Source organism: Homo sapiens, chromosome 8 (genome assembly GCF_000001405.40).
Source record: "Homo sapiens chromosome 8, GRCh38.p14 Primary Assembly".
NCBI lineage: Eukaryota > Metazoa > Chordata > Mammalia > Primates > Hominidae > Homo > Homo sapiens.
Window position 1 is genome coordinate 141,487,705 of NC_000008.11, and position 12,492 is coordinate 141,500,196.

The window sequence follows — 12,492 nt, forward strand, 5'->3', positions numbered from 1 at the left end:
CATGTCAGCCCCTCACTCACTCGGGTGTGTGTTCAGGGATGGGCCTGCACGGACTCTGTTTCTTGGCTGGGGCTCCCTCTGTTCACCCCAACCTGCTTCCTGCCTTCCAGGGTGACAGCTCTGGCTGAGTGCGTTGCGTATGTGCTCTGTGCCAGGCATGTGGAGACCGAGGTTTGAATCCCACCGCCTCAGTGACAGGCCCTGTGACTGTGGTCCCCTCCCGAATCCCAGTGCTGCAGTCCCCTTCCCAATCCCAGTGCTGCAGTCCCCTTCCCAATCCCAGTGCTACAGTGACGGGCCCTGTGACTGTGGTCCCCTCCCCAATCCCAGTGCTGCAGTGACGGGCCCTGTGACTGCGGTCCCCTTCCCAATCCCAGTGCTGCAGTGACGGGCCCTGTGACTGTGGTCCCCTTCCCAATCCCAGTGCTGCAGTGACTGGCCCTGTGACTGCAGTCCCCTCCCTTTTCCAGACTTGTGTGCTCATCTGCAGAGTAGGGGCCTCCCTCCCTCCTTCCCTCCCTCCTTCCCTCCCTCCTTCCCTCCCTGCTCCCTCTTGTTCCCCCATCTTCCTCCCTCCCCCTCAATCCCCTCTTCTTGCCTCCTCCTCCTCCTTTCCCCCCTCCCTCTCATTCCTCCCTCCTTCCTCCCTGACATTCCCTCCTTCCTCTCATCCTCCCTGTCTCCCCACTACCCTCTCTTCTCCCTCCCCTCCCCTTTTCTCTCTCTCTGCCTTCCCTTCCTCCTCCCTCCTTCCCCCTACCCCTCCTCCCAGGCACCCATCCTGCTGCCTCTCCCCTGTTGCCCCCACAGAAGGTCTGGTGGCTGGGAGCTGGGCTCCTTCCCTACCTGGATCAGTTGCTCTTCCCAGCAGGCCTTGTCTTCCTGGCTGAAGAGCTCCTCTGTGGGAGGAGGGATGGGTCACAGGGCCCTGTCTAACACCCGTCTCTTCCGGCCTTTAGCGCTGGCCCGGGCTGATGCTGCTGGCCTCTGCCTGCCCTACCTCTGTGGGGCGCGGGAGCTGGAGGGATGTGAGCCGGGCTTGGCTCTGGGTTCAGAGAGCTGGGGTGGGCTTGCGGCCCAGCTGCTCTTACTGTGTGGCCTCAGGCGGGCTGGGCTCCCTCTCTGGGCCTCGGGCTCACTCATGGTGAATGGAGGGGCGCTGCCAAGCATGGCCTCTCAAGAGTGGGAAAATAAGCCTTTGGGAGGGAGGCATTGTGAGAGTGGAGAGCTTTTCCGGAACTTTGGAACCTACCCCAGAGGGAAAGGCTGATTTGGGGAGGGATCTGGCAGCCTCAGCAGTACCCCCAGGTGCAGAGGGACCTCCATGCAGCCTGCTAATCCTGGGGTGGGAGGTGCAAGGCCAAGCCGAGCAGGTCCTGCTTCCCCTCAGGTCTTAGCGTCCAAACACCCCTGCTGGGCCTGGGCCTCCCTGCAGGTCACAGGGCCTGCCACACCCCAACCCCACCCCTCACTGTGGCTGCCGACCAACTCTTCCTCAAGGCCCTTGGCAGAAGGAGTGTCCCTCCTCACCCTCCTACGCATCCCTCTAGATGTGGCCTATACTGGCTGCCTCCTCCAGGAAGCCCTCCTTGATGGCCCCAGGACAACTGGTCCCTTTCCTCTCTGGGCAACCCCAGCTGCCCTCAAGGCAGCCCTGCATCTCCCAGTGGGAAGCGCAACAGCATATGCTGTGAATGAATGAGTGAATGAATGAAGGCTGCCCCTCGCCTCTGTGTGGCTGGGGGCCTGGCATGGGTAGGTGCTCAGTAAGTGTTCGCTATTTTGTGTCAGCAACTCTCTGAATGTCCTTCTTCTGGGGTCCTCAGAGGCCCCACTGTCCAGGCCGGCACTTCCCGCAGCTTGGAGGCCGCGGCTATGTGGATGCAGGGCCCAGACACTGCCGGCTGTGACAGGCTGGGAGTGGCCCTGGTCGGCCATGCTGCCTCTCTGAGCTCCATCTCTTCACCTTCCAGGGGAGGAATGCCCACCTGCCTTGTGTGACCAAGGGAGGAGACAGATGCAGCAGCTGGCAGTGGAGTTGCCCGGCCATGTGCCAGCCTCACACCTGTCCTGGGCCACCTCCTGGGACCTCCTCTGTCATCCTGGCTCCGTCCAGGTCCAGCTGTTGCAATACTGACAGTAGGAGTGGGTGAGCCATCAGAGGGGCTGACACGGCTGGGCCTGGTGTCGCTCTTTCCAGGGAGATCCTGAGCATGGCCTGGGCCCTCTGAGGGGTGGTGGGCAATGGGGGTCCTCGGGGCAGCAGCCTGTTGCTGCCGGGCATGAAGCTACCTCATGGTGCACAAGTGACGTGCAGCCCCTGTACCCTGCCCATGTGGACTCTCAGAGCCACCTCTTGGATCACTCTCCATGACCCACCCCACCCTGTCCGCAAACTGGCGCCCGACATACCGCTGGAGGACAGGACGCCCATCACGTAGAGGAGGCTTCTGTGTGGGAAGACGCCCGTCAGGAGCTCCGTCTCCAGATGCTGCGCCACCACCCGCCACGAGTGCCTGCAGATGGCCACCAGCATGTTGCTGGCCGCGTCCTGGTATATGTCTTCCAGCTCCTGGGGTGGGGTGGGAGCAGGCAGGGCGGGAGGTAGAGTAAGAGCGGCTTGTTACGAGACCTCGCGTCTTCACATGCCAGGGCTGGTTTGAGGGCCAGGACAGCGGCCACGGCCCATGTTTCTTTTGGTAGAAAACTGAGGCTGAGGGAGCCTGAGGCCTTCCTGGTCTGCGTCCATTGCCGGAACACCTCCTCCTCTTCCTCCCTACCTCTGAGCCCTTGCTCACGCTGTGTGCCTGCCTTCACCTCCACTCCCACTTAGAGCCTGCTCCAAGGCCTGGGTTCAGGGCACTCATCCTGAAACCTCCAGCCCACATCACCTCTCCTCCTGAGCTCCTGGCGGCTCAGGACAATGTCACATCTTTCACCATGAATTCAGAAGCAGAGGCTATATTCCTGTCCAAGAGAGCCAGGGCGTCAGCTGCTCAAGGGCAGAGCCCCGCTGACTGGGTCCCTGGCCTCCCTGACCCTGGCCAAGCCCCCACTGTCCAGTGGAGGGGCATCTTCAGCAGGAAGGAACCACATGGGTCCCGGAGCCTGGCTCTGTGTGGTCACACCTGGGACCTTTCTTAACAAGCGTGTGGGTATCCCTTTAGATCTTGCTGCAATTTTGATTTCTACTCTTTTCTCAGTCTTCATGGGAGCCATAAGGCAGCTTCTGTGGCTCTGAGGCAGGTGAACAGGAGGCCTGTCTGCACTTGGGGGCGTCTGAAAGTGGGGGTGTCTGAGCCGTGCCATGCAGCTTGAATCATCGCATGAAATAGATATATCATTTATAACTTATGGAAAGTATGGTTATGGGGGCTTCTTGTGAAGATGGTGATTGAATCTGATTTTGCTCTTTCAAAAAACCTACCTCAGCTGACACTACATTTAGGAGATTTTTTAAAAAGGACAATAGCAACCGCACTGTGGAAGTGGGAAGCAGGTAGGCGAGGGGCCTGAAGACCACGTGTAGGCTAGCGGAGCAGAGGCCGAGCGGCCAGCTCACCCACACGGCACTGTCCCCCAGTATTTGAAGTTGGGGGGGTCTCTTGTCTCCCAGCCTCTAGAACTGGAGGGGCAGTGGAGGGGCTGAAACTAAAGGTGACGTGGTTTTAGAAGTAGTTGAGTCCGTAGATGTACCTCCCACACTCTGCACACGTGAAGGGAGCTGGCCCTCTCCCACCCCAGCAAGACTCTGGGGGCTCAGTCTCTGGAGGGGGCAGATGAGTGTCTCTACCCAGGGGTTGCCAGGCCCGTAAACTCCGGGAATACTCACTTCCCAGGCCAGTCCTGGCATGACTGCCATGGGATGGGACCCTGACCTTTATGCAGGGCCCCTGGGTGAGCGTCTCCCTGGGACTCCTCAGAGCGTAGAAGGGAAGATGGAGAGATGCTGACGTAGCTGGGTGAGGGTGGCAGCAGTGGGCTCACCTGGTCACTCTACGGTGGAACCAAGGGTTCAGGTAGCCAGATGGAAGGGATACGTGACCACAAAGCGCGGTGGCTAATGCTGCCCCCAGAGTGACTTCCACTCCTGCGGAATGGGCAGGACAAAGACTCCACAAGCCCGAGCTCCCCAGCAGACATCAGGTCGCGTGTGAAGGATTACGGTTCAGGATGGCTCTGGATCCTCAACAGCCACGAGGGCCAGAGGACAATGGACAGCGGTTGCCAACCCACAGTCCAGTGTGAAATCAAATCCAGAGATTTCTGGAAATGCACAGGCTCAAAACCTTACTTCCCTTAAGCCCTACCCCAAGAAGCACCTCCAGGAAGCTGAAGTCTGTCTCCAGTTTAAGAAAGTAAATCTGGAAAGGGGAGACTTAGGGTGTAGGAAACACAGTCCCCCACCGGAGCAGGGCAACAGGAGTGCAGGCCCAGGCCGGTCCTCACTGACTCCAAGCTCTATGCTGGGCTGGAAGATTGTCTGAACTCGGCTGGTCCTGACCTAGGTAACAGAGTGCCTGATGCCCGTCTGTGTCCCAGGGGGTGGGTAGGACCCACAGAAGTGTCCGTCTGTGTCCCAGGAGGCGGGTAGGACCCACAGAAGTGTCCGTCTGTGTCCCAGGGGGCGGGTAGGACCCACAGAAGTGTCCCTCTGTGTCCCAGGCAGCGGGTAGGACCCACAGAAGTGTCCGTCTGTGTCCCAGGGGGCGGGTAGGACCCACAGAAGTGTCCGTCTGTGTCCCAGGGGGCGGGTAGGACCCACAGAAGTGTCCGTCTGTGTCCCAGGGGGCGGGTAGGACCCACAGAAGTGTCCGTCTGTGTCCCAGGGGGCGGGTAGGACCCACAGAAGTGTCCCTCTGTGTCCCAGGGGGCGGGTAGGACCCACAGAAGTGTCCGTCTGTGTCCCAGGGGGCGGGTAGGACCCACAGAAGTGTCCGTCTGTGTCCCAGGGGGCGGGTAGGACCCACAGAAGTGTCCGTCTGTGTCCCAGGGGGCGGGTAGGACCCACAGAAGTGTCCGTCTGTGTCCCAGGGGGCGGGTAGGACCCACAGAAGTGTCCGTCTGTGTCCCAGGGGGCGGGTAGGACCCACAGAAGTGTCCGTCTGTGTCCCAGGGGGCGGGTAGGACCCACAGAAGTGTCCGTCTGTGTCCCAGGGGGCGGGTAGGACCCACAGAAGTGTCCGTCTGTGTCCCAGGGGGCGGGTAGGACCCACAGAAGTGTCCGTCTGTGTCCCAGGGGGCGGGTAGGACCCACAGAAGTGTCCGTCTGTGTCCCAGGGGGCGGGTAGGACCCACAGAAGTGTCCGTCTGTGTCCCAGGGGGCGGGTAGGACCCACAGAAGTGTCCCTCTGTGTCCCAGGAGGCGGGTAGGACCCACAGAAGTGTCCGTCTGTGTCCCAGGGGGCGGGTAGGACCCACAGAAGTGTCCCTCTGTGTCCCAGGAGGTGGGTAGGACCCACAGAAGTGTCTGTCTGTGTCCCAGGGGGCGGGTAGGACCCACAGAAGTGTCGACTTACTCTGGGGGCTGGAGCGGGGCTGCAGTGTGTTCAGAAGCAGAAAATGTAGACCAGTCCTGGCCTCATTCATGCCAGACTCCATGCAGGGGCCCCTCCTCATGAAGCCCCAGGAGGGTCTTGTCCACCCTCAGGGAGGCTGAAGCCAGACCACACCCCTGAGAGTGTCCCGAAGCCCTTGCCTCCCCGGGGAAACTGCTCCCCAACCCCATCTCCCTAGGATCATCAATCTGTAAACTGCAGAGACGCCTGAAAGACTTCGCAGTGGTGAGTGTGACAAACACATGCATAAGATTCCAAAAGAAAAAGAAATGAGGTGGAAAAAAGAAATAGGTAGACAGGGCCCTTGCTTCCCATTTTGCTGTCTCTCACACCCAGGGTGGCCTCATTCACTTCTCTGGGGGAGCACAGGGGCATGTCCCACCTGCCACCCACCAGCTGGGCTGTGATTGCAGGCCAGTCCCTAAGGCTCTGGGCTCCAGCCTCCGCATCCGTAAATGGGGCCACAAACCCCTGTGTGGAGGATGTGTTGACCATGCTTGTAGGCCCTGTGCTGGCTGTTTGATGTCTGTTATTCCAAATAACCTCTCCTTGAGTTTGTTGAATCATAGGGCCAGGTGAGCAGCTGGAGCTGCTTACATCTTTTGGGGAGTATGGAAGTCCCATTACAATGCCCTCAACCTGCCTGTGTCCCCGTAGCTCCTAGGAGATGTCTCTACTTCATTACTTCCCACCACCATGGCCCTGAAGGCATGTTCAGATGGTCCCTCTGTCTGCTTTCTGACCCCCGCCTGGGACAGGCCTGTGTGGCCCCGTGGGGTGTGCTGTGCCTCTTGCTTTGGGGAGAGCTTTGAGTATTAAAGACCTTTCAGTGGCCTTTGCCTCCTGCACAATCATGAATTAAGACTCGGCACCACACGGAGGGTAAATGGTGTCTACTCCTGCTTTGTGGGGCACCCTAGTGTGTGTGCGTATTGAGGTGTCCCCTGGGGCTGCCCTGGCCTAGTCAGTCTAAGCCACCTGCTCCCAAGTCTCCACTCTTGGAGTGGAGATTGTTGGCGGCTAGGGCTGGCTCTTGGACTGCAAGCTGCAGGTGGGGTGGGGTGGGGTGGGTGGGACAGTTCAGGTCCAGACCCCCAAGTCTCCATCAAGCAGGAACCCAGAAGGTGGCCAAGGGCAAGGGCAGAGTTACAGCCTGCAGACTGGGTTAGACTCACAGCAGGCCTTCCAGAGGCTGGGCTGCAGGCAGCTGCCATGCAGTGGTGAGGAAGGCGGTGCAGAGGGGAACCATAGCCTGCTTCAGGGAGAGACCTCCTTTGGGGAGAGGGCCCCCCAACTTACGAGCCCCTTGGCTTTAGACAAGCAATGCTCTCTTGAGCCTCACCTTCCTGGAATGGGAACGTGAGATGGAAAAGTATGATTGTCCCGCTGAAGGGGCTGGGGGTAAGAACGTGAGTCACTGGATGGAAATTGCTTGGTAACCCACAAGGCTGGGCATGCCCAGCATCACTTGGGTCCCTGGGGCAGCTGCTGGCATTCCCAGAACCCGTGGGGGGTTGGCCCACTTGCTGTGGGAGGGGAGGCCCACCGTGGCCTTGGTCATGTTCTCCAGAGCGAGCCGTGTGAAAGTTTTCTCCCAGGTCTCCTCCAGGACGTCACTGGCCCCGATGACCATCTCCAGGGTCTGGAACAGCCGGAACTTGTGCCTGCTGGAGATCTGTGGATGGCAGAGCAATGGTGGCTTGGGGACAGATCAGGTCAGATCGTGTGGGAGATGTGGGTGGGGGCGTGGATGGGGAGGGGTGTGAGAGGAGCCATTTCTCTCTGCCACTTCATGGTTCTATGACTCCAGGCAAATCCCTTGGCCTCCCTACGCCTTCGTTTCCCCACCTGTGAGGGTCAGGATCGCCACCTCATGAGCGCATTCTGAGGGTGGTCAATGCATGCGGGTCCACTTTTCTCCCTCCCCACTTGGCCCATTTGACATATGAGGAAATGGAGACTTGCCCCAAGCCATGTAGCTGTTCTAGGCAGGATCTAGGGTTTGAGCCCACCTTGGGGTCCCACCCTCCCCCTCTGCCCCCTGTGCCTGCCCCAGTGGCCCAAGCTGTCCCCACCTCTGGGTTGTCTATGAAGTAGTCGTGGATGGTTTCCATCACCAGCTTGGGGGAGCCATGAGCCATGTTCTTGATCTTCTTGATGATGTACTTCAAGTGGAAGGGGTCAGCACTGTTCATGTCCTGCAGCATCTTGAAGCCGGTGGCTAAGGTTGGCAAGAAGGCATGTGTAAGCAGGCTGTGGGTAGCTCACATTGTGGCAGCAAGGCTCGGCAGGCAGGAGGATGGGTCTGGGGATGGAAGGAGTGCTCTGAAAATGAGAACTGGGGAATGGATGTATGAGAAGTCCAGGACCTCCTGACTGTCCAGATGGACCTTCTGGAGTTCAACATAGGTAAGGAGCAGGAGTGCAGGTGCATGAGCACGTCCTCACTCACCATTCATATTCCCATCCGCCCATCATCCACTCATCCACCTGTCCATCCAGCCATCTGTCCATCCACCCACATGTTCCATCTGTCCATCCTTCCATCTACTAATCCACCTGCTCATCTATCTTTCCATTCATCTACCTGCCCATCTGCCCAACATCCATCTATTCATAAATTTATTCACCCACCCACTCATGAATTCATCCCTCCATCCCCCCATCCATTCTTTTATCCTTTCACCATCCATCCAGTCATCCAGCATTCAATGGTGTTTGAATAAGGGAGGGGCCAGGCCTGGACTGCGGTTCCGAGGTGTGAAAGGGAAAGGGAGGATAGCGGAGGGCGGGGTGTAGGGTGAGCTGGGGCATCATTTGGGCTTTGGATGGTGCCTCAGGAGGCATGAAGAGGCCAAGCCGGGTGTGCAGGGTTCTTTGCTGAAAGCTTCACTATGTCCACACCACTTGATACCCTCAAGGTCCTGGAGTGGAGACTCCCTCTGGCCATCACCCTCAGGACTGCTTTTGGTGGAGGGACATGGTGGGATCTGCTGGAGCCTGACCCCATCTGGGCCGACCCGCCCCTGCCTGTCTGAGCCCAGGGCTGGCAGTCACCTGCACTGTAGGCTTCCCCCATGAACATCCTGTGCTCCTGTAGCATCAGTGTGGCCTGGCTGCTCTGCGACTTGTGAAGCAGGATGGTGGTGGGGTGTGACCATCTGTCCCTGCGGGCAGAGTCCTGGTGTACCTTCATGCAAGATGAGTCCTTCATGGATGTGGAGACAGGGGGGGAGATTCTGAAATGGAGGAGGGGCCCTGGGTGTTGGCATCTGAGTGCGTGTATATTTCTGCGTTAGTACAGGGGGTGCTGAGCGCAGCATTGACTTCCATCGGGCTCAGCTGCATCCTTCCATGTGTTTGTCCTTCCATTCAATGGACTGGCTGGGCCCTGGGAGGAGGGCAGGGGTCTCGAGGCCTCAAGGACACTGTTGAGTAGGCAGCATCACCTGTAGGCCTGGTGCGGCCTGGCCTCCGTGCAAGTGTCAGGTTCTGAGGTTGGGTTTGAGACAGACATGGCTGGTGGGACATGGCAGGGCTCAGGGTATGGTATCCCTAGCTCAGGCTCTTGATTTGAGAGAGCCAATCTCATTCCGATCACATGTGAGACTGCCTTGGTCACCCAGACATCTGGTGGAGTCTCCGAGGGGAGTGGGGGAGCTGCAGGAGCAGTGAGAGCAGAGCAAGGGAGGATGCAGGGGCCTCCAAGGAAGGCCTCCTCTCCTTCCTCCAAGGTGGCCTCTGCCTCCTCCTCCTCTCCTTCCTCCAAGCTGGCCTCTGCCTTCTCCTCCTCTCCTTCCTCCAAGCTGGCCTCTGCCTTCTCCTCCTCTCCTTCCTCCAAGCTGGTCTCTGCCTTCTCCTCCTCTCCTTCCTCCAAGCTGGCCTCTGCCTTCTCCTCCTCTCCTTCCTCCAAGCTGGCCTCTGCCTTCTCCTCCTCTCCTTCCTCCAAGGTGGCCTCTGCCTTCTCCTCCTCTCCTTCCTCCAAGCTGGTCTCTGCCTTCTCCTCCTCTCCTTCCTCCAAGCTGGCCTCTGCCTTCTCCTCCTCTCCTTCCTCCAAGCTGGCCTCTGCCTTTTCCTCCTCTCCTTCCTCTTCTCTTGCAAATATGGGGAAAGCACTACCTCAGGCTGTGTTAGTGGCCACAAAGGGCCAAAAGAGACTGGGTCCTTCCTTTTGGGGATGCTGCCCAAGCCTTGTCCCCCATCACGAGTTCTGCCAGTGAGCCCCTGGGGCAGGAACAGGCTCCTGCTCCACCCACTTCCTGACCTTATTCATTTGTTCACTCTTGGTACCCACTTCCCAGGTGCCTACTATGGGTGGGACATGTTCTAGGCTCCTGGGATGCATCAATGAATGAGATAAAGTCAGCAAATCAAATCAGTGAATTCTGTGGTACATTAGAAGACAGTTCATCTCTCAATATTTTACCCATTCATTTGTCCCACCATGGGAGGGATGCATGTCAGATCATGCCACTCAAAATCTACCCATATGCCTCCCATTTCACTCAGAGTAAAACCCAAAGTCCTGAAGATGACATAAGACACAGATGCTTCCATCCACGAGGGTGTAACAAGGACCAGCTTCACCCTCCTGCCTTAAACAACTCAAAAATTGGAAAAATATACAAAACCATGATTATCAGACATCAGACAACAGCAGCACAGGACAAAGATCTCTGAAAATGGAAAACCAGCACGGTGAGCCCAGCATGGCCACAGCCAGCTGCCTGGGAAGTTTCCAGTTTGCGGCGCAGGGTGAGGAAGCCTGATAAAGCCCAGTAGTCTCTCTGAGTGGAGGAAGTGGACGTGAAAGTCTTGGGGAGCCAAAGTGGCTGGAGTTTGCTGGGAAGAGTCACAGGAGACAGCTGCAAAAGGAGGAGAGAGAGTTCTGGGGCTTTGCAGGGGATCCCCTGCATTCCCCGTCTTCATCTGAGCTCAGTACGTTTGGGAAAAGAACCACAAAGCTCCAAAAAGAGTAGAGGGAACAATCTTTGGAACTCACACAGAGCTAGGAAGAGTTCCTTTTCTCATCAGCAAGAATGGAAAACCTGGTAATTCACAGCGCATTAGGTAGAGTGCTAATGGTATGACCTCAGTAATGGGGGAAAAAAATCTGCCCTAAACAACAATGCTTTGGCTCTTCCTACTAAAGCTTTAAAATCAAAGCCTCAAAGGAACCAAACTTTTCAAGTAATTTAATTGTGTTCAAGAACAAATCTGAAGAATATTTAAAAAGTACAGGAATATCCAGTACCCAACAAGGCAAAATTCACAATGTCTAGCATCCAATCAAAATTTGCTAGGCATGGAAAGAAGCAAAAAAATATGATCTACAATTAGGAGAAAAATCAATTAATTGAAACCAACACAGAAATGATATAATTAGTAGACAAGGACATTAAAACAATTATAACTATAAGGTTGGTGCAAAAGTAATTGCGACTTTTGCCATTACTGTCAATGATATATTTCTCATGTTCAACATGGTAGAGCAAAACATAAGCATGGTAAGGAAAGACATGGGAAATATAAAATGATGAAGAATACATTTCATACTATGAATACACTAGTTTAGCAGCAGATTAAACAATGTAGAAGCGAAGATGAGTGAACCTGGAGACACAGCAACAGAAACTATCCAAAAATGAAACATACAGAGAAAAAAGACTGGAAAAAATAAAACAGAGCGTTAGTGAGCTGTGGGACAGCATCACATGGCATTTTGTATGTGGAATTTGCATCCCCACAGAAGGAAGGGGAAAGAAAACATATCTGAGGAAATACCTCAAATACATTTTACAAATTTGATGAAAATGATAAATCCACAGATCCAGGAAACAACGAATTCCAAGCAAAAGAAATACAAAGAAAACTACATGAAGACACATTGAAATAATATTGCCCAAAGCCAATGATAGGAGCAAATCTTAAAACCAGCCATAGAAAAAAGACACATGAAAGGAACGAAAAATCAGAGCACAGTTCTTGTTGAAAACGGTACAAGCTGAGAGACAGTGAGCAACAATTTAGCGCCCTGAAAGAAAAAAACAAAATGAAACAACAACCTGCCAAGCTGGAATTCCATACCTAGAGAAAATATCTTTAAAAACGGAAGGTGATATAGAAACACTTTTCATGTACACAAAAACCAGAAGAAGTTATCACCAGGAGTCCTGCACTACAAAAAACGTTTGAGATAGTCTTCCAGACAGAAGGAAAATGACAACAGATGGAAATAGGAAACTACACAAAAGAATAACAAGCACCACAAATGGGAAAAATTTAGGTAAATAGAATTTGTTTATTTTTAAAATTTAAAGTAAGAATAATAATGCATTGTGGGTTTATAACAAATATAGAAGTAAAATATATAACAATAATAGCACAAAAGCCAGGAGGGGGAAATGAAAACAAAATATTGGAAGGTGCTTATACTCTTAATTTTACTCGAAGCTATAATTTCACTTGAAGGTAGACCGAGATAAGCTAACATGTATACTAGAAACCCAAAAGCAGGCCGGGCGCGGTGGCTCACGCCTGTGATCCCAGCACTTTGGGAGGCCGAGGCGGGTGGATCACGAGGTCAGGAGATCGAGACCATCTTGGCTAACATGGTGAAACCCTGTCTCTACTAAAAATACAAAAAATTAGCCGGGCGAGGTGGCGGGTGCCTGTAGTCCCAGCTACTCGGGAGGCTGAGGCAGGAGAATGGCGTGAAACCCAGGGGGCAGAGCCTGCAGACAGCCGAGACTCTGTCTCAAAAAAAAAAAAAAAAAAAAAAAAAAAAAAAAAAAAAAAAAAAAGAAACCCAAAAGCAATGACTAAAACAACATAAGACAAAATATGTGTGGCTAACAAGTCCACAAAGGAGATAAGGTGGAGTCATAAAAAATACTCAATGCAAATAAAGGCAGAAGGAGACAAAAAAATGCAT

General features: G+C 54.9%; 1 non-coding gene across 3 annotated transcripts in view, besides 5 other annotated features; it reads right to left on the reverse strand.

Moving 5' to 3' along the window:
- Window positions 1-12,492, reverse strand: part of MROH5 (maestro heat like repeat family member 5 (gene/pseudogene)) — a 73,405-nt gene that overhangs the window by 53,880 nt on the left and 7,033 nt on the right. The window contains 5 exon segments of one of the 3 annotated variants that reach the window (NR_102364.3): window positions 847-899; window positions 1,993-2,133; window positions 2,413-2,572; window positions 7,105-7,233; window positions 7,634-7,779. This is a non-coding gene — a transcript (maestro heat like repeat family member 5 (gene/pseudogene)). 3 annotated transcript variants of the gene reach the window in all.
- Window positions 2,839-6,904: a meiotic recombination region, noted in NCBI's record as "meiotic double-strand break mapped by DNA meiotic recombinase 1 chromatin immunoprecipitation followed by single-stranded DNA enrichment and sequencing in the germ cells of some male individuals with the PRDM9 A/C genotype". NCBI's record gives the evidence for it as "EXISTENCE:chromatin immunoprecipitation-seq evidence [ECO:0000229][PMID:25395542]".
- Window positions 3,030-3,045: a nucleotide motif, noted in NCBI's record as "nucleotide motif; similarity to the predicted 16-mer PRDM9 C binding motif, CCNCNNTNNNCNTNNC".
- Window positions 4,134-5,008: an enhancer, noted in NCBI's record as "OCT4-H3K27ac-H3K4me1 hESC enhancer chr8:142501938-142502812 (GRCh37/hg19 assembly coordinates)". NCBI's record gives its function as "activates a minimal SCP1, AML or CMV promoter by ChIP-STARR-seq in primed H9 embryonic stem cells {active_cell/tissue: H9 hESC(primed)}" and the evidence as "EXISTENCE:reporter gene assay evidence [ECO:0000049][PMID:30033119]".
- Window positions 4,439-5,579: a repeat instability region, noted in NCBI's record as "repeat instability region; HaeIII fragment containing the CEB42 minisatellite". NCBI's record gives the evidence for it as "EXISTENCE:restriction fragment detection evidence [ECO:0001124][PMID:10435440]".
- Window positions 4,528-5,512: a minisatellite, noted in NCBI's record as "CEB42 (D8S358) VNTR, 41 nucleotide repeat".